Source organism: Homo sapiens, chromosome 12, assembly GCF_000001405.40.
Source record: "Homo sapiens chromosome 12, GRCh38.p14 Primary Assembly".
NCBI lineage: Eukaryota > Metazoa > Chordata > Mammalia > Primates > Hominidae > Homo > Homo sapiens.
In genome coordinates, this window is record NC_000012.12 from 61403589 (window position 1) to 61424803 (window position 21215).

Consider the following 21215-nt stretch of genomic DNA (forward strand, 5'->3'; position numbering starts at 1 on the left):
AGGAAAGGAAAGGAAGGGGAGGGGATGGAAGGAAAAAGAAAAGGAGGGGAGGGAAAGGAAAGGAAAGCAGAGACATTTGTAAAAAAATATTTAAAAAATACCTCTTGGACAATGTGTGAATAAAGAGTTCAGGTTTCCAAATTTAAATAATCACAGATTTTTATAGATGGACTTTCATCTAGACTCGCCAAATGTTTTGATTTCATTTGTAACGTTCTTGCCAAGTAGTTACAGAATATATTTTGAACAAACTGCTAACAGGAATAGGCTCTTAAAATAGATCATTCTACTTCCAGGCAACTTTAACTATTTAAAAGCAAGCTCCTCATTATAATGACCTGAAAATTTCATACTTATCTAATACTCTTGATATTAGTCTCTGAATCTAGGCAATCTGACCCCATTTCCATATATAAAGTCATTCATGTAACCTAACCACTACCCGCCTTCTACAAAGGCCCTCAACCCATTAAATTATTTGTAAACTGAGATTTTTAATTTCACTATCCTTGTTCTTCTTCCTTTAGTGAGCTTTGGTTTGTCATTCTCTTTGAAAGAGTGGAGCTCAAGATACAACCTCTTTTCTTGGAGAGTGGTCATAATTAACTGTTGTGTAGGGAAGCTAACCACTTAGGTACATCCGGGGATGCAATGCAGGTGTCCAAGGTTCTAGAGAGACGTACCAACACACGCTGCCTAGAAAAGAGTGACTTCTGTGATGACAGAAGTCTCCACCACGGAGTAAGATTTCAACTTGGATGATTAGGAATTTCTGACTTGAAAGAGAATAATTGAGTCTATATATTTCATTGTACAGAGTTTGAAGAAAAAGTACGACGTGCTAGAGTAAAAACTGTTGAATCTATGAGGGATGAATTAAATTTTAAAGTTCATGAAGAATAACTCTAAATAGAATAATGCTGAAAACATTTCCATTAGATAAAATGGTTTATTACTATTTTTTAAGATCACTAAAATCACTAATTTGTTTTCTCCATACTTGTCTCTGATATGTTTTACTCAACCTGAATTTAAGAACTTAATTCATTGAATCCAACACTTAAGTAATCAGTCAAGCAAACCGCAATTTTTTTCTCTCATGATTACTATATATTTTTCTTACCTCTCCAATTTCCCGTTTTTGTCAGTTTTGTTCATCCTATTACAGTACATAGTGGCTAGAACACAGCATTAGGAATTCTGGCTATTACATTGCACATCACACACAAAAATTAAATCAAAATGTACTACAGACCTAAAGGTAAATTTTAAAAGTGAAAAACTTCTAAAAAATACAAGAGAAAATATTCTTGACCTTAGGTTAGGCAACAATCTCTCATACACAACATCAAAGGCATGATCCTTAAAGAAAAAGAATGGTAAATTGGACTTATTCAAAATTAAGAATATTTCCTTTTCTAAAAGCACACATACAAGCTACGGGTTCAGATAAAAGAATTATAAATCACATATCTGATAAAGAACTTGTACCCAGAACACAGAAAGAGCATTTGAAACACAATAATTTTAAAAAGCGTACAACCAAAAAAAAAAGGAAGAAAGATTTTAAAAGACACTTTAAAGAAACACATGACACATGATCATTTGAAAAGATGCTCAATCAAGTTAAAACCACATGCGATACCACTGCGTACCTATTAGAATAGCTAATATTAAAGACTGACCATATCAAGTGACCTTGAGGATGTGGAATGGCTGGAGCATTCCTACGCTACTGGTGGAAATGTAAAATGATACAAGCACTTTTGAAAATAGTTTATCAGCATCTAAAAAAATAAACATAAAATTTTTAATTATTGACTTATTGCAGTCCTACCTAGGTATCTATCCAGGAAGAATAAAAGCTTATGTTCATACAAACGTATATACACAAACATATATAGCAGCTTTATTTATAATCACCAAAAACTGGAAAAGGAATAAACAAACTGTGTTATATCCACACAACGTAATATCATTAATTAAAAGAAATGAGTTATGACACATGAAAGTACATGTGTTGATGTATGATCATGGATGAATCTCAAAGTAATCATGCTGAGTAAAAAAGCCAGATCAGAAAAAGTACATACTATTAATTCCATTAAAGAATTCTATAAAATACAAATTAATCTATAAATGATAGCAGATAAGTGATTGCCTGGGGATAAAAGCGGGTGGGGAGGAGCGGGTGGGAGGGATTATGAAATGGCAGAAGAAAACATAAGATGGTGAATATGTTTATTATAATGATTTTTATAAGGGATTTGTAGTTACAAACATTTTTTAATTTTCAAATTGTATACATTAACTGTACAGCTTATTGCATGTGAATTATATCTCAAAAATGCTTTGAAAAATAATACCTCAGATGATTCTTTCAGTTTGAACATAGCTTCCAACAGTTTGCTGGATGATGGGTGCTCTTCATCCTTAGGCCTTGTCTCTATATGAGTTGTGATACTAATTGTAAAAAGCAAAACAAAATTTATATTTCTCAGCTATTACTTAAGAACCCAGAAGAGAAGGATAATGGTAAAGGAAGGAAAGTATCTCATTAAGCCTGGAAATAAGGACTTCGATAGAAGATCTGAATAATCAGAAGGAAGAAAAGACTCAAATAGCCCTGGGAAATCTTTCATTGTAAATGGCAGAGTAACCCTGTAGATACCTCAATTAAAGTATTCATCATTTTTTGGTAAATATTTATTTTACTTATCTCTCTACTTAGAATTGGAGCTCTTTTAAGAGAGGAATTTTGGTCTTCTCCATCCATTGCCTAGCATAGTTCCTGGCACGTATCTATGCTCAATTGGAAATAATATAAATGGCCCCAGAGAAATCTTAGCTATACTTACTTATTTTTTTGTTCAGCCAACTTTACAGAAATTACCTCTAACCTTTAAAATGAACATACAAGATAGGCATTATTACCTTCACTACAAAAAATTTAAAAATCTTTGATTCAGAGGGTTAAATGACTTGTCTGAGTTAATTCTGCAAGTAAGTGGTGAACCTAGGATTTCTGGTGGAGTTAGCATCTAAAGCTAGGCCTGCTGAGTACAACAACCATGGTTTTGCCACTACATCTTGTGGATACCTAGCAGATACCTTCAGAAAATTGGTTATTATGATTGGAATTTGAAACCATAATAAAATATGGTGAACATTCTTCCTTTTCCTTTATTGATCTTGAAGGGAAAGAATTGGGATATATCTTTAGAAGAATATTCTCTATTGAAAAGTCTACTTCCATGAAAAAATGCTGGATATAGTTCTATGTAAAGAAAACAACATATCCAGGGGATAGTGAATTCTGGTTCTGAAGCATTTTATAGGAGTAATGGAGAATTTCAATTCTTTAGACACTTATCAGAAGTTTTATTCAGCTAAAAACATTATCTGATAAGTTGTTGACCTTCCTTACTGAAAATGTCATCTTCTAGAAGATAAAAGAAGTGATGATTGAAACCACAAATGACATGTGGGAGCAGATAAAAGGAGAGGGGAATAGAAATGATGTCATTAGGGAAGTATATTATTAACTGCCCGGTCAAATGAAGAGAATGGATGTGTTCCTGACACAGATCGATATCTAAGTTGAACATCTCTTAGAACTTGCATTGTGCACTGCACTCCAGATTGATTCCACTGTACTGGCTCCAGTACACCTTCTCTCTCATTGTCACCATCATTATCCAGAGCACACCTCAATATTATTATCAAGAATACTTAGGAAATTAAGAAGAGAGTAAAAGATTATTTACATTGGTTCTTGACATTTGAAATTGAAGTAATGAGTAGGTTTATTATAAGAAATGTCCACTAGGTAAATAGAGCTATGTGTCTGGAACACTGAAGGAAACTGACATTGGTGAAGATTTTGAAGCCGTATGTATAGATGCAGAATCAAAGCTTTGGAAGTAAAAGAGGTCTCTAAAGAAAAGAGTATGGAGAAAACAGCAGCAGGACAGTGATAGAAGCTATTACCCAAGTATGTGGGGGTAATGTTACCCAAGGAGGGAGGACAAATGAAGGTTTTTGTTGAAGTGGGACCTATCACATTTGTATGCCAATTTGCACTTATTTTTTAAGTTAAAAATTCAAGTATCCTGTAAGGCAATAGCTCACTTTGCAATGAAGTCTCATCTAGTGTTATTTTAAATCTTAAAAAGGTTACTTGGAAGCATGTAAACATTACAACTGGGTGACACTGTTAAAGAGCAAATGCACCTATATCCAATTAAAAAGACGCGTCTGTGGCCAATGATACCATCTTGGTTGAATGCCTTATATGTACTACTCAAAGGAGCTTTGTGGTTCTTTAGAGAAACTCATTTTCTGGCAGAGGTTTGAAAGCATTTCTGGTATTAAAAAGGAAATCAATGAGAGGATAAAAAAGCAAGAAGGATGTGTGGTAAACTCTCATTTAAAAACCTGTACACTCAACAGAATGCATCTTTGCAACCTTTCAATAAGACAAGTCTTCTTTAATTTCAAATGGAACAGCCTGTGTTCCATATTTCTTAGCCTGGCTGACATAGAGGTCACAGATTTACTGTGGGACAAGGTAGAATCACTTACATATTATCCTAAATTTAGATTTGGCCTAGATTTTTTGCTGAAATGATGAGAGGCATGGCAATAAAATGAAACTTTGCTGCTTTTATCATTTTCTGCTTTCCGAGTTAAAAAAAAATCATAAAATAAATTGTGCTTAAAGAAACCACTGAATTCATCAAACTCTGACTCCTTAAAATGATTAAGTCATTTTGTCTCCCAACCAGTCCTGAACTGCCTTCTTAGTGACCTGTGGCATGTCCTGAATAGCCTTTCTGAGCAGGCAGGTAGGATATATATGAATATGACAATAAACAGCTGTAGTAGTGTTCAGTTTCAGTCTTCAATCTTTGACATCCTTTTTAAATGCTCCCCAATGACTTCCCCAAGTGTTCACTCTAGTCACTATTGTCCTAGAAGAGTACTGAGCCAATTTAGTGTATATTTATTGATCACTATAAAAGGCAATGTACTGTGTTGCTGGAGGTGCACCCAACTTCTAAAAAATTTACAGTTGAAGAGGCAAGACATAATTCCATGAAAACTTTAATAACAAATATTAGAAGAGCTCAACCAGTAATAGACTGCTTAGAAAAAGAAGAGATCACTTTAAGATGGAATGACTGATTAATTAATAATGCCTTTAAGATATGACAAAACAATACAGATCTGGTCCACCAAAAGCTATTCGAGGCTAAAGATTCCATTCATTCTAGTAGTATCTCCCTAGTAAGGTTCCTCATCTGCTTCTGCCTAAGTACCAGATTTTCGCCTTCCACAGACAGACACCTCCACAATTTACATCAAAACATATCCCAGTGAATATCACATAATTGACTCCAACTAACCCTTTTTAACCTTACAGCATAGACCACACAACAAATCCAGTGAGTTATACATATTGGATTTGAGCCTGAACATACAAGTGCAACTGGAATGCCTTAAAAAAGGCACCATAGAATCTGTATCTATCAGGATTTAGCCCTCACCAGTCATCTGGTGCACAAAGCACCCAGCATCAATGTGCTCATCATGAATGAGAGGATTAAGCCTAGGAGAAGGGAGTTAGCCAGAAACCAGAAAACACACAAAGATGTGGAGGCAGTAATACCTTGCTCTCCCTGACCTATCATCAACAGTTAGAGATTGAGCATGAAACAAAATCCAACATAAAGCATTAAGATCCACCTCTATTCTGGGGTCTGTAGAGAGGGCTGATCAAGGAAAAAAGAAGAATAACAGGGTTCGGAAGTACATAAGAGAGGCTGGACATGTAATCCCAGCACTTTGGGAGGCCGAGGCGGGTGGATCACCTGAGGTCAGGAGTTCGAGACCAGCCTGGCCAACATGGTAAAACCCCATCTCTACTGAAAATACAAAAACTAGTCAGGCATGGTGGCGTGCGCCTGTAATCCCAGCTACTCAGGAGACAGAGGCAGAAGAATAGCTTGAACCTGGGAGGCGGAGGTTGCAGTGAGCCAAGATTGCACCACTGCACTCCAGCCTGGGCGACAAGAGTGAAACTCTTTTTTTTTTTTTTCTTTAAAGTATTTAAGAGAAACAGAAATGGTGTCAGCTAGAGCCCAGGGCATATTAGAAATTCCATGTAAATGAATAAAAGGACTATTAGAAAAACATTTAGAGATATTTAGAATATGATAACCAAAGAGAATTGCAGATCACTGAGAGGCACTCATTTATTCAACAAATATTAATTGAACAACCCCTGTATTCCAGGAATCATTCTAATTTTAGAGATACCTCAGAAATCAAAATAAATACAGATTTACGCCATCAGTGGAGTTCCTAGTGATGGCATGGAGATAAATGCACACATACACATGTACACACATAGGCACATATATGGACACACATATAACTACATTTATGTCATATGGTAGTAAATACAGTGAAACTAAACAAATCAGAGAAAAGATATTGAAAGTGGTAGGAAGGGGGATTTACCAAGTAGTGACTTTAAATACCGTGGTAGAGAAAGACCACTGGAAGGTGCCATTTTAGAAAGTACAAAATATATGAAGACTATCCTTTTCCTTTCTTTTCTGGCATCCTCATGAGGAGGAGGAAAATTCATTGCATAATTATTATCATACTTTTATTACTTCATTCAATCTATTCTAATCTTGCATTCAGGATCCAATTTTATATTGAATAGAGCTACATGGATTCTGATCTTCTCATGAAGGAAATAAATTCCTGCTACCCAGCAGTATCATGGATGTCCTCAGTCATAGAAGAGATAAAAGATTATCAATAAATCCTGGTGATTTAGTATGAAAGGGACAACTCTTTCATTTATTCCCATTTTATTAAACACTGTTCCATGCCAGACATTAACAAATTCTAGGAACACAAGAGAAACATAGCTGCCTTTATGGAGCTTGCAGTCCAGAAGGGTCAACCTGTGTGATTTGATGGAAACAGTGGAAATGGACATTAAAAAAAAAAAAAAAAAAAAAACAGGACTTAGCGACTGAATGAATTTGGGCAACATGAGGTAGGGATAAGTCAGGAATTAATTTTAGATTGATGTTATCAACAACTGGGGGGTTTGAGAAAGCCACAAGTCACACAGTGACATAGGATTCACCAGAATTAAAGCAGGTTTGAAGAATTCTAGAAAAGGGGTAAAGAGGTTTAAAGATGACTATGAGCTGAATAAAGACAAAACTGGTATTATCTGGGCTTAACAGAGCCTAGTTTCTAAATACAAATTGTATTGTTATTAGCTTTTATTCCCAGGTCTTTTAAGTAGAAATGGATTATTTTGCTGCTCTGCTAAAAATTCCTCCAATGAATCCCCATCTTCCTATAAGATCTCACATGATTTTCATCCTCTACCCTCATTCCTAATCTCTGTAATCATTGCTTCTATCTTCTGTCCCTCCTCAACTTTGATTACTTTTCCTCCACCCAATTGTCTCTTTATTTGTCCTTGATTATGCCAAGTATTCTTATCTCTTCCTGGAAAGAGGGTGCTCCAGATGTTCTCATGGATTCCCTATCACTTTATGTATGTCTCTACTCAGAGTAAATCTCATCTGATCAGAGAGGTCCTCATAAACAACCTTACCTAAAATAACACTTATTTTCTCTATTCTTGTTCTAGTTTCTTTTGATTAATTATATATTTATTACAAATATAAGCTCCTTGAGAATAGAGACCTTGTGTACTTCTTCCCTTATGTAACTTCAAAGTGTAGAACATAGTGTGCACTTAATTTATACTTTTGAATTGACATAGATTTTGTTCTACACTACTGCTCATCAATTTCCTTTTCCCTTACAACTCTGACCTTTTAAAATGCTAGTGGAAAATATTTAAATAAATTTTTACCAATTAAACTTTCCAGATAAACCAATATCATTTATTTTCTCTGTAAAGCCTGTTGTCCAGAAAATACTGAAATCTCACAGCTGGTAGACTATTTGCTACCATTCTTATTTACTTCTTCTTTTTACAAGTAAATCAATAACATTGGTTCCCAACCTGTTTCTACCAGTTGGACTTTTCAATCTCATTACATAAAGTAATTTATTATTATGGAAATCAGTATAAAACAAGTGTGAAAGAAAAAAATGGTGCTTCTGTGAAAACTAATTCAAATACTATAGAAAATTTGATAAATGGGATTTACATTTAAAGACATTGCTATTGGATGTCAACTTTCAAAGACTGAAGAGTTATAAATATGCAGAATTACTCACTCAGTATGCTTCCTATGTATATTTAAGGCCTTGTTCTATTTTAAACATCTTCAAAGTGGAGATCTTAGGTGTTGCCTTATGGGTGGGGCTTATGTCAAAAGGATGATGCTGAATTTCAATCAGTGAAAAAGAAAACTGTCTTGGTTTTACATCAAAAGATTGAAAAATGTACTTGTATTATATTAATTCTCCAGTTTATCTTTTTTTCCCTGTAAATTAACTGCCAGAATTCATCAGCTGAACTGGTTTTTCCTTACCTAACCCTATAAATACTCCATATTCTGCCCTTCCTTCTTTCATTTCAGCACAGATGAAAATGAAGTTTCATCTTGTGTGTGTTGGCACTGGTTGACTGTACTTCTATGTTCAAAAAGAATTCTAAAACTTCCAGTGAGCTAAGAGAGAAAATATGATTAGTCGCCTGTCATGAACATGAAAAGAGAAATGTGATCTCAGTGCTATGCTTTTGCTGTCCTTTACCTGAGCACTTCATGGTTCCCCTTCAAGCCCAGTGTCAAGTTCCCCTGCAGTAGCAGCACACACGTCTTGCCCATCCTGTTCTGCAACTTTTTGTATCCATCCTTATCCCACTCCACTTTCATTTCATTCCTGGTTTTCATGTATGTTTCCAAATCTGACCACCTACTTTGGGGTGAACTTAAGTGTGGCATTTAAAGACACATAAAAATCATCAAGGTAACACAAATTTGAAGCTGTTGAGAAAAAAGGGATAAAATGACAGGGTGGGAACATTAAAAAAGTTAGGAAGTACAAAAATGAACATCATAAAGGCCAATGAACATGCTATAGACAGACCACAAATTTGGCTCTAAAAATTAAAGATGAAAAAAATCTAGAAAATAAAAGCAAGTTAATTTTCAAAAAGAAGCAAAACTATTCCTTAACCAAAACAATTACTGCCAATATCACCCTGCCTCTCTATCTTGTGTTCTCTGGAGGTAAAAGTAACTTTTTTTGTATGCATTTCCTCTGAAATTCCATAAGACCTCTTCTGCACCACTCTATTAAGCTCTTGCTCCATGCTAATTATTTATGTTAATTGTACTGTGCATTTGTAGCTCCCTAAAAGAGATGAATAGCCCATTTTAATGCAACCCCCACCTGTGTTAGTTTACCAGGGATACATAACAAAGCACCATAAATTAAGTCACTTGAAACAATAAAAATTTATTGTCTCATAGTTCTGGAGATCAAAAATTTAAAATCGGCAGGGTGTGGTGCCTCACGCCTGTAATCCCAGCACTTTGGAAGGCTGAGGTGGGCAGGTCACTTGAGGTCGGGAGTTTGAGACCAGCCTGGCCAATATGGTGAAATCCCATCTCTACTAAATATACAAAAATTAACTGGGCCTGGTGGCGAGCACTTGTAATCCCAGCTACTTGGAGGGCTGAGGCAGGAGAATCTCTTGAACCTGGGAGACGAAGACTGCATTGAGCTGAGGTCATACCACTGCTCTTGAGCCTGGGCAACAGGGCAAGACTCCGTCTCAAAAAAAAAAAAAACAGGAAAAAATTAAAATCGAGGTGTCAGGAGGCCCATGCCATTCTACTTCTGAAGGTGCTAAAGAAGGATAATTTCCAGACCTGTCTCTTAGTCTCTGGTAGTTTCTAAATTTCTGGCAGCAACATGCGCGTGGACATTCTCCCTGTGTGTGGGTTTGTGTCCAAATTTTCCCTTTTCATAGAGACACCAATCATATAAAGTGGGCCTCTAATTCAAGACACCAATTATATTGGATTCAGTGGACCCCCCCTACTTCAGTACGATCTGATCTTAATTTCCCTTATTATATCTACAAGGACCCTGTTTCTGAATCAGGTCACATTCTGAAGTGCTGGGGGTTAGGATTTCAACCAATAAATTTGCAGGAATACAATTCAATCCATAACAACAACTAATATGGAAATTTACATATAACACAAACTCAGTAAATTCATTAGAGATTAAAAACTGATGAGAAAACAAGTGAATAAATGAATGAAAATATGAATGCTGCTAGCTTTCCCTTTACCCACTTACTCTTTCTATTGAGGTTTGCCAATGTTATGGCTTATCCTCTGAAGAGCAGTTTCACTTTGCCAACACTAATGAATCTAACAAGATAACTCTGCTAATACACAAATGAACACATATAGGTATTTAAGGACCTTACAACACTGATTTTTCTCAGATTTACTACATCTTTAAGTGGAATAAATACCAACCACTTTTTGTACCAGGCATGAACTTCACTCTATGTAGAACGATAGTTCTTACCTAAATATTGAAAAGATTGTGGTTTTGCATAAAGATTTACCTAAAACAAACACAATATGTTTGAAGATTTTTTTCTAGCATTGAAAAGGACAGCATCAAAGTACTCTTATACCATTATTTTCTTAATAAGAAAATAGTTAAAACTGTGTGAAAATAACAATCTAATGACATGCTGAAATGCTGAAGTGCCCAGGCAGGCATAACCAAATTAAAGTGAAGTTCTACACAATTGTTCATTAAACATACAGCTCATTGCATACCCAGGTTAAATATGTTCCTTGAATTAAAACTTTCCGTTACACAAGCATTTATTAATCCACTGGTAATCATAAAACTGTGTTTTGCTTTGTAAGCCATATGACTAGATCAGTTTACTATGGTTTCAGTTTTTTTTGTCTTAATGTTTTTCTCTACTTCTAAGGGCACTTACATTTTTAATAGTGAAACAGTTCTTACATTCAAGTATGCATTAGCACTGCTTACATCTTCTATTAAAAATAATGGGTGATTCATCATCAGGACAGGTTTCTTACAATTGACTCATTTAGCTCAGCATGCAGTCTTAATCATAAAAAAAATTCAATGAACTTAATACTAGTGATAGCTTAAAAGACACACACACATACACACAACTTGCATATACTTCTTGCCAACTTTTAAAATATTAAAGCAAGACAAGATGATTTTCTTTCTTTGTCTGCTATGAAGAAAATAATTAGTTTTAAGAAAATAAGATGATGCAAATAACCTTATCCTTACATACTGGACTGAATTTTGGGAGCCAATAATAAAAAGAGATCATGGTGATACATGAATTTTTATTATTATTATTATTATACTTTAAGTTTTAAGGTACATGTGCATAATGTGCAGGTTAGTTACATATGTATACATGTGCCATGCTGGTGTGCTGCACCCATTAACTCGTCATCTAGCATTAGATATATCTCCTAATGCTATCCCTCCCCCCTCCCCCCACCCCACAACAGTCCCCAGAGTGTGATGTTCCCCTTCCTGTGTCCATGTGATCTCATTGTTCAGTTCCCACCTATGAGTGAGAACATGCAGTGTTTGGTTTTTTGTCCTTGCGATAGTTTACTGAGAATGATGATTTCCAATTTCATCCATGTCCCTACAAAGGACATGAACTCATCCTTTTTTATGGCTGCATAGTATTGCATGGTGTATATGTGCCACATTTTCTTAATCCAGTCTATCATTGTTGGACATTTGGGTTGGTTCCAAGTCTTTGCTATTGTGAATAGTGCCTCAATAAACATACGTGTGAATGTGTCTTTATAGCAGCATGATTTATAGTCCTTTGGGTATATACCCAGTAATGGGATGGCTGGGTCAAATGGTATTTCCAGTTATAGATCCCTGAGGGATCGCCACACTGACTTCCACAATGGTTGAACTAGTTTACAGTCCCACCAACAGTGTAAAAGTGTTCCTGTTTCTCCACATCCTCTCCAGCACCTGTTGTTTCCTGACTTTTTAATGATTGCCATTCTAACTGGTGTGAGATGATATCTCATTGTGGTTTTGATTTGCATTTCTCTAATGGCCAGTGATGGTGAGCATATTTTCATGTGTCTTTTGGCTGCATAAATGTCTTCTTTTGAGAAGTGTCTGTTCATGTCCTTCGCCCAATTTTTGATGGGTTTGTTTTTTTCTTGTAAATTTGTTTGAGTTCATTGTAGATTCTGGATATTAGCCCTTTGTCAGATGAGTAGGTTCCAAAAATTTTCTCCCATTTTGTAGGTTGCCTGTTCACTCTGATGGTAGTTTCTTTTGCTGTGCAGAAGCTCTTTAGTTTAATGAGATCCCATTTGTCAATTTTGGCTTTTGTTGCCATTGCTTTTGGTGTGTTAGACATGAAGTCCTTGCCCATGCCTGTGTCCTGAATGGTAATGCCTAGGTTTTCTTCTAGGGTTTTTATGGTTTTAGGTCTAACATTTAAGTCTTTAATCCATCTTGAATTAATTTTTGTATAAGGTGTAAGGAACGGATCCAGTTTCAGCTTTCTACATATGGCTAGCCAGTTTTCCCAGCACCTTTTATTAAATAGGGAATCCTTTCCCCATTGCTTGCTTTTCTCAGGTTCATCAAAGATCAGATAGTTGTAAATATGCGGCGTTATTTCTGAGGGCTCTGTTCTGTTCCATTGATCTATATCTCTGTTTTGGTACCAGTACCATGCTGTTTTGCTTACTGTAGCCTTGTAGTATAGTTTGAAGTCAGGTAGTGTGATGCCTCCAGCTTTGTTCTTTTGGCTTAGGATTGACATGGCGATGCGGGCTCTTTTTTGGTTCCATATGAACTTGAAAGTAATTTTTTCCAATTCTGTGAAGAAAGTCATTGGTAGCTTGATGGGGATGGCATTGAATCTAAAAATTATCTTGGGCAGTATGGCCATTTTCATGATATTGATTCTTCCTACCTATGAGCATGGAATGTTCTTCCATTTGTTTGTATCCTCTTTTATTTCATTGAGCAGTGGTTTGTGGTTCTCCTTGAAGAGGTCCTTCACATCCCTTGTAAGTTGGATTCCTAGGTATTTTATTCTCTGTGAAGCAATTGTGAATGGGAGTTCACTCATGATTTGGCTGTTTGTCTGTTATTGGTGTATAAGAATGCTTGTGATTTTTATACAATGATTTTGTATCCTGAGACTTTGCTGAAGTTGCTTATCAGCTTAAGGAGATTTTGGGCTGAGACAATGGGGTTTTCTAGATATACAATCATGTCGTCTGCAAACAGGGACAATTTGACTTCCTCTTTTCCTAATTGAATACCCTTTATTTCCTTCTCCTGCCTAATTGCCCTGGCCAGAACTTCCATCACTATGTTGAATAGGAGTGGTGAGAGAGGGCATCCCTGTCTTGTACCAGTTTTCAAACGGAATGCTTCAAGTTTTTGCCCTTTCAGTATGATACTGGCTGTGGGTTTGTCATAGATAGCTCTTATTATTTTGAGATATGTCCCATCAATACCTAATTTATTGAGAGTTTTTAGCATGAAGAGTTGTTGAATTTTGTCAAAGGCCTTTTCTGCATCTATTGAGATAATCATGTGGTTTTTGTCTTTGGTTCTGTTTATATGCTGGACTACATTTATTGATTTGCATATATTGAACCAGCCTTGCATCCCAGGGATGAAGCCCACTTGATCATGGTGGATAAGCTTTTTGATGTGCTGCTGGATTCGGTTTGCCAGTATTTTATTGAGGATTTTTGCATCAATGTTCATCAAGGATATTGGTCTAAAATTCTCTTTTTTGGTTGTGTCTCTGCCCGGCTTTAGTATCAGGATGATGCTGGCCTCATAAAATGAGTTAAGGAGGATGCCCTCTTTTTCTATTGATTGGAATAGTTTCACAAGGAATGGTACCAGTTCCTCCTTGTACCTCTGTTAGAATTCGGCTGTGAATCCATCTGGTCCTGGACTCTTTTTGGTTGGTAAGCTATTGATTATTGCCACAATTTCAGAGCCTGTTATTGGTCTATTCAGAGATTCAACTTCTTCCTGGTTTAGTCTTGGGAGAGTGTATGTGTCGAGGAATTTATCCATTTCTTCTAGATTTTCTAGTTTATTTGCATAGAGTTGTTTGTAGTATTCTCTGATGGTAGTTTGTATTTCTGTGGAATCGGTGGTGATATCCCCCTTATCATTTTTTATTGTGTCTATTTGATTCTTCTCTCTTTTCTTCTTTATTAGTCTTGCTCGCTGTCAATCAATTTTGTTGATCCTTTCAAAAAACCAGCTCCTGGATTCATTAATTTTTTGAAGGGTTTTTTGTGTCTTTATTTCCTTCAGTTCTGCTCTGATTTTAGTTATTGCTTGCCTTCTGCTAGCTTTTGAATGTGTTTGCTCTTGCTTTTCTAGTTCTTTTAATTGTGATGTTAGGGTGTCAATTTTGGATATTTCCTGCTTTCTCTTGCGGGCATTTAGTGCTATAAATTTCCCTCTACACACTGCTTTGAATGTGTCCCACAGATTCTGGTATGTTGTGTCTTTGTTCTCGTTGGTTTCAAAGAACATCTTTATTTCTGCCTTCATTTCGTTATGTACCCAGTAGTCATTCATGAGCAGGTTGTTCAGTTTCCATGTAGTTGAGTGGTTTTGAGTGAATTTCTTTATCCTGAGTTCTAGTTTGATTGCACTGTGGTCTGAGAGACAGTTTGTTATAATTTCTGATCTTTTACATTTGCTGAGGAGAGATTTACTTCCAACTATGTGGTCAATTTTGGAATAGTTGTGGTGTGGTGCTGAAAAAAATGTATATTCTGTTGATTTGGGGTGGAGAGTTCTGTATACGTCTATTAGGTCCGCTTGGTGCAGAGCTGAGTTCAATTCCTGGGTATCCTTGTTAACTTTCTGTCTTGTGGATCTGTCTAGTGTTGACAGTGGGGTGTTAAAGTCTCCCATTATTATTGTGTGGCAGTCTAAGTCTCTTTGTAGGTCACTCAGGACTTGCTTTATGAATCTGTGTGCTCCTGTATTGGGTGCATATATATTTAGGATAGTTAGCTCTTCTTGTTGAATTGATCCCTTTACCATTGTGTAATGGCCTTCTTTGTCTCTTTTGATCTTTGTTGGTTTAAAGTCTGTTTTATCAGAGACTCGGATTGCAACCCCTGCCATTTTTTGTTTTCCATTTGCTTGGTAGATCTTCCTCCATCTCTTTGTTTTGAGCCTATGTGTGTCTCTGCATGTGAGATGGGTTTCCTGAATACAGCACACTGATGGGTCTTGACTCTTTATCCAATTTGCCAGTCTGTGTCTTTTAATTGGAGCATTTAGTCCATTTACATTTAAAGTTAATATGGTTACATGTGAATTTGATCCTGTCATTATGATGTTAGCTGGTAATTTTGCTCGTTAGTTGATGCAGTTTATTCCTAGCCTTGATGGTCTTTACAATTTGGCATGATTTTGCAGTTGCTGGTACCGGTTGTTCCTTTCCATGTTTAGTGCTTCCTTCAGTAGCTCTTTTAGGGCAGGCCTGGTGGTGACAAAATCTCTCAGCATTTGCTTGTCTGTACAGTATTTTATTTCTCCTTCACTTATGAAGCTTAGTTTGGCTGGATATGAAATTCTGGGTTGAAAATTCTTTTCTTTAAGAATGTTGAATATTGGCCCCCACTCTCTTCTGGCTTGTAGAGTTTCTGCCGAGAGATCCGCTGTTAGTCTGATGGGCTTCCCTTTGTGGGTAACCCGACCTTTCTCTCTGGCTGCCCTTAACATTTTTTCCTTCATTTCAACTTTGGTGAATCTGATAATTATGTATCTTGAAGTTGCTCTTCTCGAGGAGTATCTTTGTCGTGTTCTCTGTATTTCCTGAATCTGAATGTTGGCCTGCCTTGCTAGATTGGGGGAATTTCTCCTGGATAATATCCTGCAGAGTGTTTTCCAACTTGGTTCCATTCTCCCCGTCACTTTCAGGTACACCAATCAGACGTAGATTTGGTCTTTTCACATAGTTCCATAGTTCTTGGAGGCTTTGTTCATTTCTTTTTATTCTTTTTTCTCTAAACTTCCCTTCTCACTTCATTTCATTCATTTCATCTTCCATCACTGATACCCTTTCTTCCAGTTGATCACATCGGCTCCTGAGGCTTCTGAATTCTTCACGTAGTTCTCGAGCCTTGGCTTTCAGCTCCATCAGCTCCTTTAAGCACTTCTCTGTATTGCTTATTCTAGTTATACATTCTTCTAAATTTTTTTCAAAGTTTTTAACTTCTTTGCCTTTGGTTTGAATTTCCTCCTGTAGCTCGGAGTAGTTTGATCGTCTGAAGCCTTCTTCTCTCAACTCGTCAAAGTCATTCTCCATCCAGCTTTGTTCCATTGCTGGTGAGGAACTGCATTCCTTTGGAGGAGGAGAGGCGCTCTGATTTTTAGAGTTTCCAGTTTTTCTGCTCTGTTTTTTCCCCATCTTTGTGGTTTTATCTACTTTTGGTCTTTGATGATGGTGACGTACAGATGGGTTTTTGGTGTGGATGTCCTTTCTGTTTGTTAGTTTTCCTTCTAACAGACAGGACCCTCAGCTGCAGGTCTGTTGGAGTTTTCTAGAGGTCCACTCCAGACCGTTTGCCTGGGTATCAGCAGCGGTGGCTTCAGAACAGCAGATTTTCATGAACCACGAATGCTGCTGTGTGATCGTTCCTCTGGAAGTTTTGTCTCAGAGGAGTACCCAGCCGTGTGAGGTATTAGTCTGCCCCTACTTGGGGGTGCCTCCCAGTTAGGCTGCTTGGGGGTCAAGGGTCAGGGACCCACTTGAGGAGGCAATCTGCCCGTTCTCAGATATCCGGCTGCATGCTGGGAGAACCACTGCTCTCTTCGAAGCTGTCAGACAGGGACATTTAAGTCTGCAGAGGTTACTGCTGTCTTTTTGTTTGTCTGTGCCCTGCCCCCAGAGGTGGAGCCTACAGAGGCAGGCAGGCCTCCTTGAGGTGTGGTGGGCTCCACCTAGTTGGAGCTTCTGGGCTGCTTTGTTTACCTAAGCAAGCCTGCGCAATGGCGGGTGCCCCTCCCCCAGCCTCGCTGCCGCCTTGCAGTTTGATCTCAGACTGCTGTGCTAGCAATCAGTGAGACTCCGTGGGCATAGGACCCTCTGAGCCAGGTGCGGGATATAACCTCCTGGTGGGCCGTTTTTTAAGCCCGTTGGAAAAGCGCAGTATTAGGGTGGGAGTGACCCGATTTTCCAGGTGCCGTCTGTTGCCCCTTTCTTTGACTAGGAAAGGGAACTCCCTGACCCCTTGAGCTTCCCGAGTGAGGCAATGCCTCGCCCTGCTTCAGCTCACGCACGGTGCGCTGCACCCACTGTGCTGCGCCCACTGTCTGGCACTCCCTAGTGAGATGAACCCAGTACCTCAGATGGAAATACAGAAATCACCCGTCTTCTGCGTCGCTCACACTGGGAGCTGTAGATCGCAGCTGTTCCTACTCAGCCATCTTGAAAAAAACCGATACATGAATTTTTAGTATTGACTCTGCCATCATGTGTTTTAATTGACACAATAGGTACTCAGTCTATTTCAGCTTTTTTAAGTGTTACCTGCCCTACAGAGAAACAATATCATCAGATTTCTCCCAAATTTCTCTTTTTCTTTATTTCTATTAACAGCATCATCATTCTTTTAATCAACCAGTACTAAATCCTGAACTTTATTTACCCATTCAATGAATAAATTACTCAATATTGCCAATGGAATCTTGATATAACTCTGCTAGGATCTGGAGATACAAAAGTGAGAGGAGACAATCTGCAAACAAAAACAATAATAAGGCACCATTTCACACCCAAAAGGGGGAAAATCTGAAAGGTAAAAAAATATCAAGTTTTATGGAATTGTGCATCAATGCAAACAGCACTGGGGAAGTCTAACTAGATAAAACAACCTTGAAAAACAATTTGGTACTGCCTATGCAGAAAGTTGAAAATTCACATACATATGCCCAGCAATTCTGCCTTAGGCAAAAACCCTGAAAAAACTCATGCATGTACACAGCTATAGTGACAATAATCCATAATGCCCAATACATGCCTTGGCCTTCCAAAGTGAAGGATATTCAATGGAATGGTGGTGAGACATGAGTATTTAAGTGTTATCTATTGTTTTTGTTATTGTTATTTTATTTCTTACGTAATTATTATTTTTAATAATTTAGTTTTAAAAAGAAAAGGATAAACAAGTCTGATACAGATAAGAATCAATGAAAATCATAATTTTTTTAAAAAAAGCTATGAGTTTACAAAAGAATTAGGACTCCAAACTTGTATAAAGAGAATTTGTAAATGGGAATATAATACTTAGGAACCCACCCACAGCACGGTTCAGATAAAACCCATACGAAAACCACAATACCCTCTTACACTGAGTTTATAAATCACTCAGTAGCTTTAGAATTTAAATGCAGTGTTCAGAGCTACAATTTCTGTTTTAAGATTAATGCTTCCCTTGCTTTGATTCCATCTTTAGTAGGATATAAGATTACAGACCTCTGGAACAACTGACTGCAGTATGACACACGCTCAGGCATTAATGTGTGACTTTGTTAATGAATTTATGAATTTCTTTGTGCTTCAGTTCGTTCATGTGTAAAACTAGGATAATAATAGTATCTTAGAATTTGTGAATACTAAATAATATATGTAAAGTACATAAAATAGTATCTGGAACATAGAGTTTTTCTCTTTTTTTCAATCTTTATTTCATTTTGGATAGTTTCCATTGCTGTATCTCCAACTTTACTAATCTTTTATTCTTCAAAGTCTAATTGCTGCTAATCACTTCTCATGCATTTTTAAATTTCAGACATTATAGTTTTCACATCTAGAAGTTTGATATTGGTTTCTGTTATATCTTCCTTAATATAGTAAATCTTTCCTCCAACTTCTTGACTATATGGAATATTAAATTGTGCTAATTTCTGTATTTATCAATACTGTAATCAGTGTCACTTCTGAGTCTGTTTCAACGATTGACTTTTTCTCCTCATTATGGGTTTATTTTCCTGCTTCTTTTCATGCCTGGTAATATTTGATTGAATTTGCACGTCTTAAATCTGGAATTTTTGTATTACTATAAATATTCTTAAGGTGTTTCCTAGGACAGAGTTATGTTACACAGAAACAGTTTCATCCTTTCTAGGCTTGTCCTTCTTTTAACCTTTGTTAAACTAGAAAAGCCTTTGATCTAGGGTTACTTTTACTCCACTATACAGGCAATACCATTGTGAGTACTCTGCATGATTCACCTTGAATTTCAACATTTTATACTCTGGCTGGTGTTAACACAAACCATTCCTGGCCTTGTGTGAGCTACAGCTATTCTTCCCTCTCTCCTTTCAGGTGGTTCTGTCTCTGGTCTTGTGTAATATCCTCACATACAAGGCTAATCAGAGCTGGAATGAGGAGTCTAGGAAGACCTTAGAAGATTTGTGAGGTGACTATGGTTTGTCTCTTTCCCTCCCTCTCTACCTGAAACACTGTACTCTTATGTGTGAATTCTGACTGCCTTGGCCTTCCTGAGCTCTCAGCTCAGTCTCCACCCAGGGAGACTGCCAATATACAAAGGCTGTTTCATCCATTTTTCCCAATTTTATTTCAGGTGGAAGGGTAAATCTGGTCACTGTCCTCCATCTTGGCCAGCAACAAAAGTCATGTAATCTATTATTAATAAAGACACTTTTCTCTGAATCTTAGCTAGCCCTCGGTGTGCTACATGGCACAAATTAAGTGTGGATATGTGCATGTGGGTGTGTGCAATACAATTACATTCAGCTGGGACAGTAGGCATCATTGCTTACACATGCCTTTCAGCCATCTTGTTCAGTGGAATTTTGTTGACCTTTTCCCATGTAGTCCAAAAAAGGTTCTCATTTAACCACTCCATGCTCCCAGTCTTTCCTTTTCTCATCTGATTCTTTCCCTTCTACCTCTGTGAAAGAATAAAAATAATTATCTCCTAATTATTTTGCATGATGATTTAGATTTTTTTTTTTTTGTAGATTTTGTTTCTCAGGCTTCACTCAGGCTCTCTAGACCTCACTTTTCTCAACAAAGGCAGTTTCCTACCGAAGTAAAATGATGGTGCCAGATGTTAAAATAATCAATGTAATGGTTAAGTACCCAAGTTATAGAATCGGGTTGTTTGTTTTCAACTCTAACCTCTTCTACCACTTACACCCTAAACGACTTTTATCATACTACTTTCTGGTGAATCAGTTTTACCATCTATGATAGTTAATTTTATGTGTCACTTTGATTATGGTAACCAGATGTTTGGTCAAATACCAGTCTGCATGTTTCTGTGGAGGTATTTTTTAAGTTGTGATTAACATTTAAACCAGTCGACTTCCGGTAAAACAGATTACCTTCCATAATGTGGGTGGGCCTCATCCAATCATTTATCAGCCAATAATTTATCAGCCTAAGAGAACAAGAATGAGGTCTCCTGAGAAAGAAGACTACCATTGCATCAGAGACTGCAACTCTTTCCTGGGTTTCCAGCCTACTAGCCTGCCCTGAACATTTCAGACTCACCAGCCTACCAAGTGACATGAGCCAATTCCTTAAAATCCCTCTCTCTCTCTCTCACACACACACACACACACACACACACACACACATATACACACACACATACACAATACATACACACACATGCTCTATTGGTTCTTTTTCTCTGGAGAACCCTAATACACCATCTGAAAACAAAAATAATCATGCACCATACTCCAAAGAGTTGTTTAGAGAACAGAATACAATAATATATTTTAAATGTTTTGCACAATAATGTATTTTAAATGCCTGACACATAAAAACTGTTCAGTAAGTATGACCCATATATATTTTTAGTAATTCTAACAACAAATCTTCAAGGTAGCTATTTATTAAATTTATTTTGCAGATCAGGAAAAATGAATCCCAGAAACATTAAGTGACTTGCTTACAACTTAACAACCAGTAAGTAGCAGAGCCTAAATGTGACTTCACCTGTTCTTGAACACTCAAAAATGCTTTGACTATTACTAATTATCATTATGAATACACTCTACTGTTCTAACAATTACAATCAGAAATAATTTGATTCTTAAAGCAATAAGAAGATAGTATAAATGAGGCCAACATAGCACTGTGG

The 21215-nt window shown here is 37.0% G+C and overlaps 2 annotated features.

The window, feature by feature from the left end:
- Positions 16727-17227: an enhancer, noted in NCBI's record as "H3K4me1 hESC enhancer chr12:61814096-61814596 (GRCh37/hg19 assembly coordinates)". NCBI's record gives its function as "activates a minimal SCP1, AML or CMV promoter by ChIP-STARR-seq in primed H9 embryonic stem cells {active_cell/tissue: H9 hESC(primed)}" and the evidence as "EXISTENCE:reporter gene assay evidence [ECO:0000049][PMID:30033119]".
- Positions 17228-17728: an enhancer, noted in NCBI's record as "H3K4me1 hESC enhancer chr12:61814597-61815097 (GRCh37/hg19 assembly coordinates)". NCBI's record gives its function as "activates a minimal SCP1, AML or CMV promoter by ChIP-STARR-seq in primed H9 embryonic stem cells {active_cell/tissue: H9 hESC(primed)}" and the evidence as "EXISTENCE:reporter gene assay evidence [ECO:0000049][PMID:30033119]".